At 42.0% G+C, this 21,827-nt stretch overlaps 1 protein-coding gene across 20 annotated transcripts in view; it reads right to left on the reverse strand.

Annotated features, from left to right (window-relative positions):
• GON4L (gon-4 like) overlaps positions 1 to 21,827 on the reverse strand; it is a 114,320-nt gene that overhangs the window by 62,957 nt on the left and 29,536 nt on the right. For all 20 annotated transcript variants that reach the window (XM_047423299.1, XM_006711394.5, XM_047423284.1 and 17 more), the window contains exons 3-10: positions 18,769 to 18,960; positions 14,218 to 14,408; positions 13,406 to 13,480; positions 12,538 to 12,588; positions 8,144 to 8,194; positions 7,737 to 7,832; positions 6,262 to 6,381; positions 5,566 to 5,736 (exon numbers count right to left, since the gene is read on the reverse strand). In XM_047423299.1, coding sequence (XP_047279255.1) covers positions 5,566 to 5,736; positions 6,262 to 6,381; positions 7,737 to 7,832; positions 8,144 to 8,194; positions 12,538 to 12,588; positions 13,406 to 13,480; positions 14,218 to 14,408; positions 18,769 to 18,960 — 947 coding nt within the window. The remainder of the gene's footprint in view (positions 1 to 5,565; positions 5,737 to 6,261; positions 6,382 to 7,736; positions 7,833 to 8,143; positions 8,195 to 12,537; positions 12,589 to 13,405; positions 13,481 to 14,217; positions 14,409 to 18,768; positions 18,961 to 21,827) is intronic.

Consider the following 21,827-nt stretch of genomic DNA (forward strand, 5'->3'; position numbering starts at 1 on the left):
CACTCTTTCCTAGACTGGAGTGCAGGGGCATGATCTCAGCTCACTGCAACCTCCACTCCCCACATTCAAGCGATTCTCCTGCCTCAGCCTCCTAAGTAACTGGGATTACAGGTGTGCGCCACCACACCCAGGACATTTTTTGTATTTTTTGTTAGAGATGGGGTTTTACCATGTTGGCCAGGCTGGTCTAGAACTCCTGACCTCAGGTGATCCACCCGCCTCGGCCTCCCAAAGTGCTGGGATTACAGGCATGAGCCACCACACTGGGCATCTGTTCTAATGTTTAAAATAAAATCTACACCCCTTATCATGGTTTCCTAAGACCTTCATGATCTAGCTCTTGCCTTGCTCTCTGACCTCATTTCTACCTCTTTTTCACGATCCCACCCTTCATGTAGTTTCTGTTCCTTAACCATGCCAAGGTTGTTTCTATCTTAGCGACTTAGAATGTGCTGTTTCTTCCATATGGAGCACTTTTTCTCCCCAGATCTTTTACATGCCTGGCTTCCTCTCATTCGGATCTCAGTTTAAATGCCATCTCCTCAAAGAGGCCTTTTTTCTTTTTGTTTTTTGTTTTTTTGACAGTCTTGCTCTGTGGCCCAGGCTAGAGTGCTGTAGCATGATCACAGCTCACTGCAGCCTCGATCTCCTAGGCTCAGCCTCCCAAGTAGCTGAGGCTACAGGTGTGTAACAGGATGCCCAGCTAAGTTTTGTGTTTTTTTTGGTAGGGACAAGGTCTCACTAGGTTACCCAGGCTTGTCTTGACCTCCTGGGCTCAAGTGATCCACTCTCCTTGGCCTCCTAAAGTGTTGGGATTATGGACATAAGCCACCAAACCGGACCCTGTTTTTTAAAATTTTTTTTAAAAAAGTTCTCATACTATTACCCATGCTGGAGTATAGGGGTGCAGTCATGGCTCACTGTAGTCTCAAGCTCCCAGGCTTAATCAATCCTCCTGCTTCAGCCACCAAGCAGCTAAGAATACAGGCATGCGCCACCACACCTATATAATTTTTCTGAGTTTTTGGAGAGATGGAGTCTCACTATATTGCCTAGGCTGGTCTCAAACTCCTAGCCTCAAGCAATCTTCTAGCCTAGGACTCCCAAAGTGATGGAATTACAGCCAAGGAGGTCTTTTTTGATCAGCCTATCTAAAGTTCTCTGACAGGAAGTTTCATATTTCCTCATTTTAATTTAGTTCATAGCACTTAACCACATCCGAATTTACTTGTTTATATGTTTATAGTCTATCTCTCCTCAACAGACTAAGTTCCATGAAGAACAATTTTTTCTGTCTTCTACACTGTTGTTTCTCAACTTCAACCATTCAGTATGTGTTTGGTAAATAAATGATTACATAAAAAACTATTACTGCTCCTACTACTACATACTCCAAAGCATGGTGATTAAATGACTCAGAGCTATTCCATTCAATATTCTATTTTTAATTATATACTTATATATAATTATAAATTATATACTTATAAATTATATACTTATATATACTTATAAATTATATACTTATATATACTTATAAATTATATACTTATATATACTTATAAATTATATACTTATATATACTTATAAATTATATACTTATATATACTTATAAATTATATACTTATATATACTTATAAATTATATACTTATATATACTTATAAATTATATACTTATATATACTTATAAATTATATACTTATATATAATTATAAATTATATACTTATATATAATTATAAATTATATACTTATATATAATTATAAATTATATACTTATATATAATTATAAATTATATACTTATATATAATTATAAATTATATACATATATATAATTATAAATTATATACATATATAATTATAAATTATATACATATATAATTATAAATTATATACATATATAATTATAAATTATATATATATATAATTATATATATATATATATTTTTGAAATGTAGTCTTGCTCTGTCACCCAGGCTGGAGTGCACTGGCGCCATCTCGGCTCACTGCAACCTCCGCTTCCTGGGTTAAAGCGATTTTCGTGCCGCAGCCTCCCGAGTAGCTGGGATTACAGGCACTTGCCACAATGCCCAGCTAATTTTTGTATTTTTAGTGGAGACGGGGTTTCACCATGTTGACCAGGCTGGTCTCAAACCTGACCTCGGGTGATCCACCCGCCTGGGCCTCTCAAAGTGCTGGGATTACAGGTGTGAGCCACCACACCCAGCCTTAATTATATTTTTTAATTTTAGGATTTCTTTTTAAATTATTATATCATACTTTAAAATTTTAGGACAGACATTTTTCATTGACCTGCAAGAATGATAGGGGAAACTTGGAACATTAAAATTTACTGGCTAAGGCCAGGCATGGTGGCTCACGCCTGTAATCCTAGCACTTTGGGAGGCCAAGGCAGGCGGATCATGAGGTCAGGAGATCGAGACCATCCTGGCTAACACAGTGAAACCCCGTCTCTACCAAAAAATACAAAAAATTAGCCGGGCATGGTGTGCACGCCTGTAGTCCCAGCTACTCGGGAGGCTGAGGCAGTAGAATGACATGAACCTGGGAGGCAGAGCTTGCAGTGAGCCGAGATCACGCCATCACACTCCAGCCTGGGCGACAGAGTGAGACTCCGTCTCAAAAAAAAAAAAAAAAAATTTACTGGCTAAGGCCAGGCGCAGTGGCTCATGCCTATAATCCCAGCACTTAGGAGGTTGACAAGGGTGGATCACCTAAGGCCAGTTCAAAACCAGCCTGGCCAACAATAAAACCCTGTCTCTACTAAAAAATACAAAAAATTAGCTGGCGTAGTGGTGTGTGCCTCTGGTCCCAGCTACTCAGGAGGCTGAGGCACGAGAACTGCTTGAACCCGGGAGGCAGATCAGATGTTGCAGTCAGCTGAGATCACACCACCGAACTCCAGCCTGCGTGACAGACTGTGACTCCATATCCAAAAAATAAAAAATTACTCACTAAATGTTAGAATTACAAAGTCATCATTTGACAACGACCATAGTAAAGACTGTTTCAAGAAAGAAAATCAGGCCAAGCGTGGTGGTTCACGCCCGTAATCCCAGCATTTTGGGAGGCCGAGGCAAGTGGATCATGAGGTCAGGAGATCAAGACCATCCTGGCTAACACGGTGAAACCCCCATCTCTACTAAAAATACAAAAAATTAGCCGCGCATGGTGCGGGCGCCTGTAGTCCCAGCTACTCGGGAGGCTGAGGCAGTAGAATGATGTGAACCTGGGAGGCGGAGCTTGCAGTGAGCCGAGATCGCACCACTGCACTCCAGCCTAGAGGACAGAGCAAGACTCCGTCTCAAAAAAAAAAAAAAAAAAAAAAAAAAGAAAGAATAATCAATGGATGCTAATATTAGTGTGAGAAAAATAATTTGATTGATTGGGCTGGGTGCATTGGCTCACGTCTGTAATCCCAGCACTCTGGGAGGCTAAGGTGGGCAGATCACTTGAGGTCAGGAGTTCGAGACCAGCCTGGCCAATGTGGTGAAACCCCATCTCTACTAAAAATACAAAAAATTAGCTGGGTGTGGTGTCAGTCACCTGTAATCCCAGCTACTCAGGAGGCTGAGGCAGGAGAATCGCTTGAACCCCGAAGTGGAGGTTGCAGTGACCCAAGATGGCACCACTGCACTCCAGCCTGGGAGACAGGCAAGACTCTGTCTCAAAAAAAAAAAAAAAAAAAAAAAAAGAAGGCTGGGCGCGGTGGCTGACGCATGTCATCTCAGCACTTTGGGAGGCTGAGGCGGGTCAGGAGATCAAGATCATCCTGGCTAACACAGTGAAACTCCATTTCTACTAAAAAATACAAAAATTAGCCAGGCGTGGTGGTGGGCACCTGTAATCCCAGCTACTCAGGAGGCTAACGCAGGAGAATCACTTGAACCCAGGAAGCAGAGGTGCAGTGAGCTGAGGTCGCGCCACTGCACTCCAGCCTGGGCAAGAGAGTGAGACTCCATCTAGGAAAAAAAAACAGAAAGAAAGGAATTCGGCTTTGAAGTATATCCCCACATGATATATACTAATTAAAAATGGAAAATAATAACTTTACAATGGGAAAACCAAGCACACACCACCTTAACCAAGTGATGAAAGTTAACATTACAGGGATCACGTGCCTTCTGATATGATGCAATGAGAAACACACATCACTCTTCCAGTATTTGTAACAAAAGTGCAAAACCTGAATCTAAGAGGAAATATTAGAAAAATAAAAATTGAAGAACATTCTACAAAATAAATGGTGCATACTCCTCAAAACTGTCAAGGTTATAAAAGACAAAGACTGAGAAACTGTTCCAGATTAAAGGAGACTAAAGAACAAGATAATTAAATAGATATTTAATCCAGGGTTGAATGCTGAATAGGGAAAAAAAAATTTTTTTCCTCCAACATAAAGGGCATTGTTGGGACAACAGATAAAACCAGAATAAGCACTTTAATATATTATGTAATATTACTGTATCCTGATTTTTTTTTTTTTTTGGGACAGAGTCTCTCTCCATTGCCCAGGCTGGAGTGCAGTGGCGCAATCTCAGCTCACTGCAACCTCTGCCTCCCGGGTTCAAGCGATTCTCCTGCCTCAGCTTCCCAAGTAGCTGGGATTACAGGCATGCGCCACGACACCTGGCAAATTTTTGTATTTTCAGTCGAGATGGGGGTTTCACCATGTTGGCCAGGCTGGTCTCGAACTCCTGACCTCAAGTGATCCACCAACCTTGGCCTCTCAAAGTGCTAGGATTACAGGCATGAGCCACAGCGCACAGCCTGTATCCTGATTTTGATTAACACTATTATACTGTGTTAATACAAGATAATAAACTCATTTTTAGAAAATATACACAAAAGCATGCAGAGGTAAAATGGCATCATGCCTGCATCACACTCTAAAATGATTTAGAAAACACTATGTGTATATACAGAGAAAGAGGAAGAGAACCATCAAGCAATTGTGGTAAAAGGTTAATTTGGGGGAATTTGGGTGAAGCTTTTTCCTATGTTCTACATTTTAAAATGCTCTCTGCTACATAGTTCATTTCTTCCTTAGAAACTGCCATTCTCAGCCAGGCACGGTGGTTCACACCAGTAGTCCTACCACTTTGAGAGGCTAAGGTGGGAGGATCACTTGAGCCCAGGAGTTCAATACCAGCCTGAGCAAAAATATAGGGAGACCTCATCTCTACAAAAAACTAAAATATTAGCCAGGTGTGGTGGCATATACCTGTCCCACCTATTCGGGAGGCTGAGGTGGGAAGATCACTTGAGTCTGGGAGGCGGAGGTTGCAGTGGGCCAAGATCACACCACTGCACTCAAGCCTGGGTGACAGGGTGATACCCTGTCTCAAAAACAAACAAACAAACAAAAAAAACCCCAAACTGCCATTGTCACTTTGAGCAGAAAATAGCACTAGCCAAATACAAAGTATCAAAGACTAACTCTTACTTATATAAAATTGTAGTTATCTTTTCCTCTCCCTTCCCAGCCTGAGCAACAACTACATTACTCCACTTGACTTTCTCAGTTAAGTACAGTTTTAATATTTACCTGGAAAGAATCCATGCAGACTGGACTGGAAGCCAGCTCCTCATCTACCGCATGTAACTTCTCCATGAAAGTACTATCTCTGGTCTGTTTCGGCTTTGGAGGGGGCGGGGGCCCCATGGGCACTACCTCAGCACTGATGTGCCTGATGGCTGGTGTGGTGACTTTCTCAGCCTGATTAAAAGAGGTGACTGCATCAAAAAAGGAAGGAGGTAAGAAAGAAAGAGAAAGCAAAAAAAGGAAAAAAAGAGAGGGAAAAAGAGGCAGACTTTCCATACACCATTGTCCTTTCTCTTCTCTAGTTAGAGTTACATAAAAACAAAGACACCAAGTGTATTGATCTAATTAGTTTTCATCCTATTTCTAGAGAAGTCAACAGAATGCTACTTAGTTTACCAAAATGTGGGAAATTAATAACAATGGCTTTAGGACAATATTAAAAAGCACAGATATGAAAGAAGAGAAGGGTAGGAGAAAAGAAACTCTGCTAGTTGCACATTTTTGGCCCCTTAATGAGAACTCAGAAAAGTTCTTTGGCTATCACTGAGTTCTAGCCTTCTCTGAACTGTTTACTAACTTAAGAAACTTTGAAAAAGGGTGACAGCCCAGAATCACCATGGATAAATAATCTACTTATACAGTTAAAAAATCTACTTAGACAGTTATGTCTAACATCTCTTTTGTATGATGCCGATTTACCTCTGATAATATGCCACTCTCCTCATCTGTTTCAGTCATCTCAGAAGACTGCCTCAATCTGGATTTCTTTGCCCCACGTGGAGATGAAGCAGTGCTTTCAACATCACTTTCCAATAAGCTCTACAAAATAAATCCAGTTCGCCTTAATATTTATGCCCCTACCTCATTCCACAAAGTCTGAAGTATCTCAAGAGAAGGAATCATAAAATATCAATCACTCAGCCTGGCCAACATGGTGAACACCCGTCTCTGCTAAAAATACAAAAATAAGCCAGGCGCGGTGGCGTGCACCTGTAATCCCAGCTACTCGGGAGGCTGAGGCAGGAGTATCACTTGAATCCAGGAGATGGAGGTTGCAGTGAGCCGAGATCACGCCACTGCACTCCAGCCTGGGTGGCAGAGCGAGACTCTGTCTCAAAAATAAATAAATAAATAAATAAAATCCATCACTCAACTAGTTACAGTAACAGAAAATAAAATTTAAATAGAAACTTAAAGGCCAGGTGCAGTCAGTGTCTTATGCCTGTAATCCCAGCACTTTGGAAGGCCGAGGCGGGTGGATCACTTGAGGTCAGAAGTCCGAGACCAGCCTGGCCAACATGGCGAAACCCCATCTCTACTAAAAATACAAAAATTAGCCAGGCATGGTAGCGCACGCCTGTTAATTCCAGCTACTCAGGAGGCTGAGGCAGGAGACTTGCCTGAACCCGGGAGATGGAGATGGCAGTGAGCCAACATCGCACACTGCACTCCATGGGCAACAGAGGAGACTCAAAAAAAAAATCCTAAAGGTGGGGACAGGGATCAGATCACTATCCTAATCTGCATTACAAAGTGTAAGGCCTTGGTCTAAAATCCTTTTACAAAACAATTCAAAGAACACATTAAGAAACAAGTCAAAGAACATATTAACACAGCAATGAAAGGGAACGAAGTATAGCTAAAACCAATAGTATAAATGAATCTCAAAAGCTTAATGTTGAATTTTAAAAAGCTAGGAACAAAACATATAAACATGGGTCCATTTATATAAAGTTCAAAACAGTAACAATTGAACTACAGTGTGTAGAGATACATATTGAGGTGATACAACTATAAAGAAAAGCAAAGAAATAATTACTAAAAGGCAGGGTAGTGGTTATTTTTAGGGGGAGGGAGGTGATTGTGACTGGGGAGGGTATACAGGGGTTGTCCTAGTAATGATATATTTCTTGACTTTGCTATGAGTTTCATGAGGATTTGCATTATAATAACCAAAGCTATACATTTTTATTCTATGCACGTTTCTATGCTGTATTTCATAATACAACAAATTCTAAAATTAAGGGAGTATAAAGGGCAGAAAAACAGCTTAAAGCACAGAAATGAGCTGAAAAAAGAACCATGTCTCAATCCTCTCTACAAGTGACATTACTAAGGAAGCAAAGTATACCCTGCTCTATTAAGACAAATATTACCAACTAACATTCACTGACCTCTTCAGCAGTTTCATCTTCTTCTTCATCATCCGGCTGGTATTCTTCATCTGAGGAATCATCTTCTTCAAGGTGGATATCCACAAACTGAGGAGGCTACATTAGTACAATTAGAAAGAAATGAAGTAATGGGAAACACAAATCATACGTATTTGGAAAATAAGGGGAAGAAGCAGGGCAGAAAAAAAAAAAATCCTAAGAGCATAATGTACAGCTAAAGCAAATAACACGAGGCAGAGGTTAAAGTGAATTCCATGAGATACAAACCTAAGAGTAATAGAATGGAAAAAAACAAAGCTGGAATTAAAACAAAGATTGATCAAGAAAAGTTAAAGAGGAAGTACTTAAGTTTCAAAACCGATGAAGTCTTTCTGGAAAAGAATAACAATTATTTCTTCCAAGTTTACCTTAATTTCATTGGCCTTCTTAATTGGTGAAATATTCCATGTTGGAATTACCTACCAACAAAGAATATAAATAATTAAGTTATCTTAACTGAAATAATTGTTTTTCATGTTTACTTCCTCTGTACCATCACTAACAGCCATATACTTAACAAGTAACTGCAGTGATCTAGAGGTGTTGATTATCCCTGAGGGTATACTCTCAATTATTTGTCAGAGTTAGAAAGAAGAAACCAGGAAAGAATCTATTACTGTCATTAGCATTTCTGCCTTACACCTGGTAAGCCTCACTTCTTTCTATAAATGAAGAAAACAATGTCTACCTTGTTCATATCACAGCTGCGGTTTACATGGAACAACAGATGTGACAACTATTTATAAACTATTAAACTACACAAACCTAAGATATTTTGGTTACAGTAGTCTTTTAACAGCAATATATTTTTGTAATCAGTTACATGAATCCACCATAAGTACAACTCCAAAAAGCCAGCCATGAAAAGCTTTTATGGACTATTCTGCCTATGGGGTAGCCCTGCTCTGCCTATGGGCTTTTTTTTTTCTTAAAAAAAAAAAAAAAAAAAAAAGCTTTTACCAGGGCATTTAGGGCAAAGTTTCATGTTGTCCACACTTATTTTTCCAATAGTACAGGAAAAAACAACACAGAGAGATATAAAGCAAATATGGCAAAATATTACTCTTGGAATTTAGATTCATTGTAACAATCTTTCAACTTTTTGAATGTTTGAAAATTTTTATAAGAGCTAGGGGGAAAGTTTTTCTTGTTTTTGTTTTTGTTTTGAGACAGGATCTTGCCCTGTTGCCTAGGCTAGAGCAGCAGCACAATCAGAGCTCACTGCAGCCTCAAATTCCTGAGCTCAAGCGATCCTCCTGCCTCAGCCTACTAATTAGCTAGGACTACAGGCATGCCTCCTCACCAGGCCTCACTAATTTTTTAAATTTTTTGTAGAGATGGAGTCTCATTAGGTTTCCCAGGCTGGTCTCAAAATCCTGGGCTCAAACAATCCTCCCACCTTAGCCTCTCAAAGCACTGGGATTATAGGTGTGAGCCACCACATCTAGCCTAAAGAACTTTTTTAAAGTTCTTATATACTGCTGATAAAATGCCATTGAGGATGTATAATTTCTTGACCATTTAATTGTAACCCAACCAAAAGCACCTTATGAACAAAAGCCAACTGGCCATTAGGTTCTGTCTCTAAAAGGAGTCTTAGCTTCTCAAATCAAATCAGCCCTGCTATGTTCTGACCATTTATCTAGTGCTGTGTAGGTGGGACCAATATAGGGTAAAGGGAATGATGTGATTCAGGCCCATTTCCCTTTCCTACCTACTGCCAAATCCATTAGAAAGGCAAGCCAGCATTCAGAAGTGTGTTGGAGTCAGTCTAGTAAGAATTAAGAAGGCCAAGTATAGCGGCTCATGCCTGTAATCCCCCCATGTTGGGAGATCAAGGCAGAAGGATCACTTGAGCCCAGGAGTTTGAGTTCAGCCTGGGCAACACATTAAGACCCTATTTCTACAAAAGAATGTTTCAAAAAAACCAATTAGCTGGACATGGTGGCACATGCCTATAGGCCTAGCTGTCTGCGAGGCTAAGGCAGGAAGATCCCTTGAGCACAGGAAGGAGTTCAAGGCTGCAGTGAGCTATGATTAGGCCACTGTACTCTAGCCTGAGCAACAGAGCAAGTCACTGAAAAAAAAAAAAAAAAAAAGAAAGAATTAAGAAGCAAGAGACCTACATTTTAATACTTGCTCTCCTACGTAAACTATACCGTCTTGGATGGCCCAACTTCTCCACATCTATATTCATGGCCAATAAACATAATTCAGAGCCTAATTTGATCTCCTTGGATTTTTTTTCCCCAAATCAAATAAAGAATTAATGTTAATTATATTCTTTTTTTTTTTTAAGACAGAGTCTTGCTCTATCACCCAGGCTGGAGTGCAGTGGCATGGTCTCCGCTCACTGCAACCTCTCCCTCCTGAGTTCAAGCGATCCTCTCGTCTCTGTAGCTGGGATTACAGGCGCCCACCACACGCCCAGCTAACTGTTGTATTTTTAGTAGAGACGGGGTTTCGCCATGTTGGCCAGGCTGGTCTCAAACTCCTGACCTCAGGTGATCCAGCTGCCTCGGCCTCCCAAAGTGCTGGGATTACAGGCATGAGCCACCGTGCCCAGCCATGTTAATTATATTCTATATGTCAAGTAGACTTCATAGAACTTCCTCACTGATGGCTGCTTTCATCATAGCTACCACCTATTCATTTGTGAACACATCCTAGAGAAAGATGAAATTTCAATTTATGCAACAAGAGTTAGTCAACCAGACCAAAAAAAGTGATGTGATTGCCAAAAACAAAGGTCAATTTGACCTTAGGCTACATTAGGAGAAATATGTAATCTGGAACACTGTGGAGATAATCTAACTACTAGTCAAACCATATCTGGTTCAGTAGAGTCTTCTTTTGGCATACTTTTAAAAGGATATGGGACGGGCACAGTGGCTCACGCCTGTAATCCTAGCACATTGGGAGGACAAGGCGGGCGATCACATGGGTCAATTGGAAACCAGCCTGGCCAACATGGTGAAACCCCATCTCTACTAAAACTACAAAAATTAGATGCGTGTGGTGGTGCATGCCTATAATCCCAGCTACTCAGCAGGCTGAGGCATGAGAATCGCTTGAACCTGGGAGCCAGAGGTTGCAGTGAGCTGAGATCGCACCACTGCACTCCAGCCTAGGTGACAGAGTGAGACTCCATCTCAAAACAAAAAGGCCAGGCACAGTGGCTCATGCCTGTAATCCCAGTACTTTGGGAGGCCAAGGCGGGCAGATGATTTGAGGTCAGGAGTTTGAAACCAGGCTGGCCAAACATGGTGCAACCCCATCTCTAATAAAAATTTTAAAAAATACAAAAAAATTAGCCGGGCATGGTGGCACGCACCTGTAATCCCAGCTACTCAGGAGGCTGAGGCAGGAGAATCACTTGAGCTTGGGAGGCAGAGGTTGCAGTGAGCCAGAATTGTGCCACTGCACTCCAGCCTGGACGATGAAGCAAGACTCCCAAAATAAAAAGGGGGGGAGAAATTGGGGGATGTATAGCCAAGAAAAGAATGTTATGAAATAACATACTAGTTTTCTTCAACTGTAGGAAAAGTAATGTGGAAGAATACACCAATTCCTTTTCTTGCTTTTTTTTCTAGACAAGGTCTCGGTCTCATTACGTTGCCCAGGCTGGTCTTGAACTCCTGGCTTCAAGCAATCTTCCTACCTCCACCTCCCAAAGTGCTGGGATTACAGGCATGAGCCACCAAGCCCAGCCTAGACCTGTTTCTTCTATCAGTCTCCAAGGAATAAAACCAGGACAGATAAAACCTATGATACATATTTTCGGTCTGTAAGGCAAATCTTCCTTACTATCAGAAATATAATGAACTCCCTCATGACTATTACCTGCCTTGTAAGCACAAACTAGTCAAGTGCTTATTAAGAAGGATATAGCACAGCTCCAAGCACCAAAGAGCTTGCTGCACAGAATACTTCAGATGTCTTCAAGTGGTTCTCAACACTTTAGTATTCAAAAGAATTAACTGTTGTGTTTTTGCCAATGCATATTCCAAGGCCCTGCCCATGGGTCCTGATTCTCAGGTCTGGGGTGGGCTCAAAAGTATGGAGATTTTTTTGTTTGTTTTTGTTTTTTTGAGACAGTTTCACTCCGTTGCCCAGGCTGTAGTGCAGTGGTGCAATCTCCACTCACTGCAACCTCCGCCCCCGGGTTCAAGTGATTCTTGTGCCTCAGCCTCCCAAGCAGCTGGGATTATAGGCGCACACCACCACACCCAGCTAATTTTTGTATTTTTAGTAGAGACAGAGTTTCACTATGTTGGCCAGGCTGGTCTCGAACTCCTGACTTCAAGTGATCCATCTGCCTCGGCCTCCCAAAGTGCTGGGATTACAGGCATGAGCCACTACACCCAGCCAAAAGTATGCATTTTTAATAAGCATGCCTGAGGGATCCCACACCAAAGTGATTTTTATGCAACTGGCCCCTGGAACACACTATGAAAAATACTAAACACTTTGCAACATGTGTTGTAACATAAATAGAAAAACTGGTCTCACCTATTGATTTCAACTATTCCAAATGGTTATCTATCTAGCAATTCCAAAAAGCAATGCTTCATATCTACTAAAATAAACTATGATTATCATAGCTTATGATCATGTAGAAACAATTCTACTGTCTTTTATAAATATTTCTTTAAAGAGGCAAATTCAGACCACAATCTTTCCTATATTTTTCCCTATGGGTGAATTAGATCCTATTCACCAAGCTAAAAAAAAACCAACAACAAAAAAACAGAATACTTACCACTCCTTTTTCCACTACTTCCTTCAGTTTAGAGCGTGTCATTTTAGGCTCCTAAGGAGAAAAAAACAGAAAGGAAATCCTCAATAAAAATCACAGCTCAGTGAGGTGGCTCATGCCTATAATCCTAGCACTTTAGGGGCCAAGGTGGGAGGATGGCTTGAGGCAAGGAGTTTGAGACCAGCCTGAGCAACAGAGTGAGACACCCTCCCTACAAAAAAATTGTTTTAAATTAGCTGGGCATAGTCGCATGTTCCTGTAGTCCCAGCTACTCAAGAGGCTGAACTGGGAGGATCGCTGAGTCCAGCTTAGGAGTTTGAGTCCAGCCTTGGTGACAGAGCAAGACCCTGTCTCTAAAAAAATAATAATAATAAAATAACAAGGCCGGGCGCGGTGGCTCACGCCTGTAATCCCAGCACTTTGGGAGGCCGAGGCGGGCGGATCACAAGGTCAGGAGATCGAGACCGTCCTGGCTAACGTGGTGAAACCCCGTCTCTATTAAAAATACAAAAAATTAGCCGGGCGTGGTTGCAGGCCCCTGTAGTCCCAGCTACTCAGGAGGCTGAGGCAGGACAATGGCCTGAACCCGGGAGGCGGAGCTTGCAATGAGCCAAGATCGCGCCACTGCGCTCCAGCCTGGGTGACAGAGTAAGACTCCGTCTCAAAAAAAAATAATAATAATAAAATAATAATAATAATAAAATAACAAATAAAATAAGTAAAAATTACCAAGTAATTCTTATGTTTTGAAATGCTAACTTTAACCCCAGCTGCCAAACTGTTTACAAACTCCTAAGTGACCTCCTACCCTTAGCCAGTTTAGAGATAACTCTGTTCCAAGACATTAAAAGAGTGATAATCAACTACTCACAAACATTGGCATATCTTCCGTCTCACTGATGGCTGCTTTCATCATAGCTACCACGTGTTCATTTGTGATTACTTCCTGGAGAAAGATGAAATTTCACTTTATGCAACAAGGGTTTGTCACCTAGACAATACTCATCTCTCCATGTAACTGTCAGACCTATGTACAGGACAAATGAGAACCATATACTCGAATAGCATCAGACTGGGGTAAAGCAAGGCAACTGAAAGCAAAGAAGGCAGAAGTAAGTTTTGGCCAGAACCACACAGTTTCAAACAATGTAGCAGCAAATGAACCAATCTCATTAGCTGCTACTAGGAACAGGAATGGCTCACATAAAAGGAGATCCTGAGGTAAGTAACTATATGCTTAAGAGAAAGAGTAACAAGAGCAAAGGCTCTGCAAATAGCTGTGTTGCTACATATCAAGAAAAGTATTTACATATGTACAAAGTGCAATAAACTATTAACCAGGCATCTTTTTAGACATATCGACCCACAAGAGTAAACCCACTATGAACATTATCAACATTGAATCTACTAAACAATACAGTAAATATGAAAATCAGTGGAAGGAAACAGGAACAGTTTATCTTTCCAATTAAATTCTTCTTTAACATGTGTTCATATTTCAAACTTGTACTGAGTGCAAGGAGAAAGCTATCTTAAATATGTAAAAATGTAAAATGTTCTGTCACGGGTAACCCACAAAATCGGTAATTCACGTATCAAGAGTCAAGAATTTGCTGAACATTTTTATATGCTTTCCATGAAAAAGTTCCCTTCCATTTACATAACTGCCCCAGTCTTACTCACATGAAGGATGTTTCGGACATTGACTGCTGTTAGATTGTGCTGCTTGGCACCATCCTCCAAGGTACGGTCAAGCATGTCATCCAGTTTCAGGTCATATGCCAAGGTCCCTTCTTGACCCCTTCCATCTCGTTTCCTCTTGGTACCCTTTTTCTTTTTTCTCCTTTTCTCACTTTCTTCATTGTCTTGTTCTTCTGCAAATAAACCAAGAACATCATCAGAATTCCAAAATAGCTGCTCCAGGAACTTAGCCCAGAAAGCCAACAGTAAAGTGGATAAATCTCAAAAGCATTATGCTGTGAAAGAAACCAGATGTAAAAGGACACATATTATATGACGGTATAACAAGTATAGAACATTTGCATAGAAGATGCAAAACTATGGAAATAGAAATCAGTGCTTGCCAATGTTTGAGAAAGGGGGATAGCAAAGGGGAATTAGGCAACTTTTGGGGTGACAGAAATGTTCCACGTTGGTTGTGGTAGCAGTTAACACAACTGTATATATTTTTCTTTCTTTTGTTTTTTTGAGACGGAGTTTTCGCTCTTTGTTGCCCAGGCTGGAGTGCAATGGTGCAATCTCGGCTCAGCGCAACCTCCGCCTCCTGGGTTCAAGTGATTCTCCTGCCTCAGCCTCCCGAGTAGCTGGGATTACAGGCATGTGCCACCATGCCCGGCTAATTTTGTATTTTTAGTAGAGATAGGGTTTCTCCATGTTGGTCAGGCTGGTATTGAACTCCCGACCTCAGGTGATCCACCTGCCTCAGCCTCCCAAAGTGCTGGGATTACAGGCATGTGCCACCACGCCCGGCTAATTTTGTATTTTTAGTAGAGATGGGGTTTCTCCATGTTGCTCACGATGGTCTTGAACTCCTGACCTCAGGTGATCCACTCGCCTCAGCCTCCCAAAGCTCTGGGATTACAGGTGTGAGCCACCGTACCTGGCCCAACTGTACATATTTTTCAAAACTCATCAGATACATTTTATTTTATATCTCAATAAACCTAATGAAACTTACCACATTAACAAAATGAAAGAGAAAAAAACATGATCTTAATAGAGATAGGAAAAAGCATTTGATGAAATTCAATATATGAAAAAACTCAGAAAACTTAGGAAAATTATTTCCTTAACCTAAAAAATATTTCTATGAAAAGCCTATAACTATCCTCATATATAATGAAGGAATACTGAACATTTTCCTGTTTTGTCCAGAAATAAGACACAGATGTCGACTACCACTACTACTTACAACCTACATAGCAATGAAGGTCTAGAATATGCAATAAGAAAAATTACGTGTCCATTTTAAAAGCATTTGCCAAAGTGAGGCTGGACGCAGTGGCTCACACCTATAATTCCAGCCCCTTGGGAGCCCAAGGCAGGTGGATCACCTGAGGTCACGAGTTCAAGACCAGCCTGGCCAACATGGTGAAACCTCGTCTCTACTGAAAATACAAATTAGCCGGGCATGGTGGTGTGTCCCTGTAATCCCAATTACTCATGAGGCTGAGACAGGAGAATCACTTGAACCCAGGAGACGGAGGTTGCAGTGAGCCGAGATCACACCACTGCACTCAAGCCTGGGCGACGGAGCAAGATTCACACACACACACAAAAAAACCATTTGCTAAATCAAATAAAGAAGTCTTTAGTCATGTGTCTGTGTTATGTTTCACAATAAAAAATTTAGTATTTCAAAAGAATTTTAAGGATGCCCAAACTTATAAGCTAGCATTTCCACCCAACGAAAAAGAAGTACACATGTTCAGCAAAAAATCTATAGAATGTTCACAGCAGCACCACTCACAGTAGCCCACAACTGAAAAGTATCCAAATGCTCATCAAGAATTGAATGGGGCCAGGTGCAGTGGTTTGCACCTGTGACCCAGCACTTTGGGAAGCCAAGGCGGGCAGATCATTTGAGGTCAGGAGTTCAAGACCAGCCTGACCAACATGGTGAAACCCTGTCTCTACTAAAAAAAAAAAAATAATACAAAAATTAGCCGGCCATGGTGGCACGTGCCTGTAGTCCCAGCTACTTGGGAAGCTGAGGCAGGAGAATTGCTTGAACCCAGGAGGAAGCGGTTGCAGTGAGCCGAGATTGCACCATTGCACTCCAGCCTGGGTGACGAGAGCAAAACTCCACATCAAAAAAAAAAAAAAAAAAAAAAAAAAAAGGCTAGGCACGGTGGCTCATGCCTGTAATCCCAGCACTTTGGGAGGCTGAGGCAGGCGGATCATGAGGTCAGGACTTCGAGACCAGCCAGACCAACATGATGAAACCCCATCTCTACTAAAAATACAAAAATTAGCAGAGGAGTGGTGGAGCGCACCTGTAATCCCAGCTACTCAGGAGGCTGAGGCAGGAGAATCACCTGAACCTGGGAGGCGGAGGTTGCAGTGAGCCAAGATCACACCATTGCACTCCAGCCTGGGCGACAGAGTGAGACTCTGGTTCAAAACAAAGACTCTGTCGCAAAAAAAAAAAAAAAAAAGAAGAAGAAGAATTGAATGGGTAACAATGGGCACAAGGAAGCAAAAAGAAAAAACAAAGAGTTGAATGGATAAAGAAAACGTAAAGCAAACCAGGTGAGGAGGCTCATGCCTGTAATCCCAGCACTTTGAGAGATCAAGGAGGGACTGCTCGAGCCCAGAAATACAAAACCAGCCTGGGCAACATAGTGAAAACCGTCTCTAAAAAAATAATAATAATAAAATAAAAATGAAAATTAGCCAGGCATTGTGGCGTGCACCTAGAGTCCGAGTTGCTGGGGAGGCTGAAGTGGGAAGATCACTTGAACCTAGGAGTTCAAATTGCAGTGAGCTATGATCATGGCACTGAACTTCCAGCCTGGGTGACAGAGCAGTACCTATCTCTAAAAAAAAAATTAAAGAAAAGAAAACATACATAAACTATTCAAACAACAGAATGATATACAGCAATAAAAATGAACAATCTACAAGTACATCCAAGAATATGGATGAATTTCATAAAACAATGTTGAGGCCGGGCACGGTGGCTCACGCCTGTAATCCTAGCACCTTGGGAGGCCGAGGCGGGCAGATCACCTGAGGTCAGGAGATCGAGACCAGCCTGGCCAACATGGTGAAAGCCCGTCTCTACTAAAAATAAAAAAACTAGCCCTGCATGGTGGCCGTGCCAGTAATCCCAGCTACCCAGGAGGCTGAGGCAGGAGAATCGCTGGAACCCGGAAGGCAGACACTGCAGTGAGCCGAGATTGCGCTACTGCACTCCAGTCTGGGTGACAGAGCAAGACTCTGTCTCAAAACAAAAAAAAAAAAAATTGAGAGAATAAACGCAGTCACAATGCCAGGCACGGTGGCTCACACCTGTCATCCCAACACTTTGGGAGGCTGAGGCAAGAGGATCAATTGAGCACAGCAGTTTGAGACCAGCCTGGGCAATATAGTGGGGCTCCGTCTCTACAAAAAAAATTTTTTAATTAGCTGGCTGGGCCGGGTGCGGTGGCTCATGCCTGTAATCCCAGCACTTTGGAAAGCCAAGGCAGGCAGATCACCTGAGGTCAGGAGTTCAAGACCAGCCTGGCCAACACGGTGAAACCCCGTCTCTACAAAAAATACAAAAATTAGCTGGGCATGATGGCAGGTGCCTGTAATCCCAGCTACTAGGGATGCTGAGGCGGGAGAATCGCTTGAACCTGGGAGGCGGAGGTTGCAGTGACCTGAGATCAAGCCATTGCATTCCAGCAGCCTGGGCAACAAAGCAAGACTGTGTCTCAAAAAAAAAGAAAAAAAATTAGCTGGCTGTGACGGCACGCGCTTATAGTCCCAGCTACTTAGGGCTGAGACAAAAAGATCACTTTAACCCAGGAGGTCAAGGCCACAGTAAGCCGTGATGGCACCACTACACTCCAGTCTGAGTGACAGAGTGAGACCCTGTCTTTAAAAAAAAAAAGGCAGTTATAAAATGTACACACGATTCCATTCAAATAAAAGACAAAAAGACAGAACAACTGGCTAGGCGCAGTGGCTCACACCTGTAATCCCAGCACTTTGTGAAGCCAAGGTGGGTGGATCATCTGAAGTCAGGAGTTCGAGACCAGCCTGGCCAACATAGCAAAACCCTGTCTCTACTAAAAATACAAAAATTAAGCCGGGTGTGGTGGCAGGCACCTGTAATCCCAGCTACTCCGGAGGCTGAGGCAGAAGAATCACTTGAACCCAGGAGGCAGCGGTTGCCGTGAGCCGAGATCACGCCCCTGTACTTCAGCCTGGGCGACAAGAACAAAACTCCGTCTCAAAAAAAAAAAAAAAAAAATTGAACCAATATATGATGCTAGACATCAGGATAGTGGTTAACCTATGGGTAGAGGGTAATTGAAAGGGAAGACAAGATGGACTTCTGGGTATTGATAACATTCTCTATCTTGATCTGGGTCCTGCTTACAAGGGTGTATTAAATTTGTAAAAATATAGTGAATTCAGGATATCTTAGGACATGTGCAGTTTTCTACATATTATACTTCAATAAAGAGGTTTCATTTAATTAAAAAGAAAAAGAAAGCCTACCCATTGGAATGAAGAGTCCACCATCTTCTATCTCTTCCTCAGGTTGGTGAAACAGAGTCCTGAGTGGCTTTTCTTGAGGAGAGGCACAAACATCTGGCTGGGTTGATTTCCTGGGCTGGCTTACTGGTTTTGCAGATTGGCTGCCTGATGGCAGGGAAGGTATCTCCCCTTCAGAATTCATTTGAGGTTTCCCTGGAAGAATCACAAATATTGCTCCACACTTTGACCATTCTCAGTCATACTCTGTTGTAGAATTTAGCATCTTATTATAGTGTTTTTAGGTAGACAACTTCATGAATTAAGCATATACTATATAGGAATTTTCCTCTCTTAAATCAAAGCTCAGATCCAATTTACTCATCTGTAAACTCAGGGAGTTAAACTAGGTAATTGCTGAGGTCTTTTTATTTCTAATATGCTTTCAGTTTTGCATTTTTTCCTATGAAAAATCAGACTTGTAAAGGAAATTCCTGATGACATTTTATATAGATGACCATTAACACCATATTTCATCAACTATAAATATAATCATAAAATGCCCTGACTTTGTAAATCAATTTGGCAGAGCAGAAGAGTAACTGTCACCATAAAATTGTAAATATATGGTTCTACAGTTCATTAGACAACTTTCTCACCTCAACACTTCATAAACACTCCCTTTGTGAGGGGAGTAGGTGAGGCTAGCATTAAAAAGACAGAGAAAAAAGGGGTGATGGTGCATGCTTGTAGTCCTAGTTACTTGGGGGGGCTGAGCTGGGAGGATGGCTTGAGGCCAGGATTTTGAGGTTACAGGGAGATACGATTCCACCACTGCACTCCAGACTGGACAACGCAGCAAGACCCCGTCACACACACACACACACAAAAAAAAAAGCCAGGTGCTTATAGTCATGAGGTGGCTCATGACTATCATCCCAGCACTTTGGGAGGCTGAGGCAGGAGGATCACTTGAACCCAGGAGTTTGAGACCAGTCTGAGCAACATATCGAGGCTTTGTCTCTACTAAAAATAAAAATAAAAAATTAGGCTAGGCCAGGTGGCTCACACCTGTAATCCCATTACTTTGGGAGGCCAGGGCAGGAAGATCGCTTTAGCCAGGATCCAGGAGTTCGGGACCAGCCTGAGCAACATTTGGAGATACCTTGTCTCTACAAAAATATAGAGCTCTAAAATTAGCTGGGTGTGTTGGTACACACCTGTGGTCCCAGCTACTTAGGAGGGTGTGGTGGGAGAATCACTTGGACCCTGGAGTTCAAGGCTGCAGTGAGCTGTGATCATGCCATTGCACTCCAGCCTGGGTGTCAGAGCAAGACACTGTCACACACACACACACACACACGCAAAGAAATATTCATGTAGTATTAAAAGTAGGCTGGGCGCAGTGGCTCACATCTGTAATCTCAGCACTATGGAAGGCTGAGGCAGGCAGATCACTTGAGGTCAGGAGTTGGAGACCAGCCTGGCCAACATGATGAAACCTCGGCTGTAAAAAAAGAATACAAAAATAAGCCAGGCATGGTGGCAGGCACCTGTAATCCCAGTTACTTGGGAGGCTGAGGCAGGAGAATCGCTTGAACCTGGCAGGCAGAGGTTGCAGTGAGCCAAGATAGTAGTGCCACTTCACTCCAGCCAGGGCAACAGAGCGAAACTCCATCTCAAACAAAACAAACAAACAAACCAAAAAAGAATGCTGGGCACAGTGGCTCACGCCTGTAATCTCAGCACTTTGGGAGGCTGAGATGGGTGGATCACTTGAGGTCAGGAGTTTGAGACCAGCTTGGCCAACACGGCAAAACCCCGTCTCTACTAAAAATACAAAAAATTAGCCAGGCATGGTGGCGGGCACCTGTAATCTCAGCTACTTAGGATGCTGAGGTAGGAGAACTGCTTGAACCCAGGAGGCGGAGGTTGCAGTGTGCCGAGATCGCGCCACTGAACTCCAGCCTGGGCGACAGAGAGAGACTCTGTCTCAAAAAAAAAAAAAAAAAAAAATGGTAAACATCAGAAATCAGGCTATCAAGGAAATAGCTTGCATATATACAGAAAATCCCTGGACTATACACAAAAAATTGTTTAACAGTTACCTGGGAAGAGGACTTGGGGAGCAAGAGTACAAAGTGAAAGGATGCCTAAATTTTCACTGTGTACTTTTTATATTTCTGAATTTTTTCCCTAGTTTGTGTATTACTTAGTTGAACATTTTCTTTCAAAACACATGGCCAGTCTTTATACTTGGGTCTCACTCTGTCGCCTAGCCTGGAGTGCAGTAGCATTGTTATAGCTTACTTCCATCACACCATCCAGCTAAATCTTCTGCTTTAATGGTGTTTATTCTAATAGAATTTTACTTGTTCTTCTGAATTTGACTTACATACCCTAATTTCCACTTATGCTTCTCCTTTCTTTGCCTCCTAAAAGTGAGTAGCATGATTTTAGCTTATAATTAGTTGATTTGTACTGTTCTCAGCTAATTTTGATGTTATGATCAGCCAGGCATGGTGGTTCACACCTGTAGTCCTAGCACTTTGGGAGGCCAAGGTGGGCGGACTGCCTGAGCTCAGGAGTTTGAGACCATGCTGGGTAACATGGTAAAACCTCGTCTCTACTAAAATACAAAAAATTAGCCAGCCGTGGTGGCAGGTGCCTGTAATCCCAGCTATTCAACAGGCACGAGAATCACCTGAACCGGGGAGGCAGAGGTTGCAGTGAGCCAAGGTTGCAGTGAGCCAAGGTTGCACCACTGCATTCCAGCCTGGGCGACAGAGCGAGGCACTGTCTCCAAAAAATAAACAATATAAATTAAAAAATAATAATTTTGATGTTATCAACATACAGTTCTCAGGCTGGCAGTACATAAGTTACAGATATGCTCTGAATAAGGTTTGCTTTCTCTATTTCTCTTATTCTGCTCAGCTTCTCTTTCTGAGGTCTTTTAGCATCCAGCATATCTATAAAGGAAGGTGGGGTCCTAAAGGGCTCTAGGAAGGGGAAATAAATTGAAAAGCATTGTGGAGTCAGAGGGGAAAAAAAGGTTGTAGAAAAAAGGAACATTTCCTCTA

Source organism: Homo sapiens, chromosome 1 (genome assembly GCF_000001405.40).
Source record: "Homo sapiens chromosome 1, GRCh38.p14 Primary Assembly".
NCBI classification, from domain to species: Eukaryota; Metazoa; Chordata; class Mammalia; order Primates; family Hominidae; genus Homo; species Homo sapiens.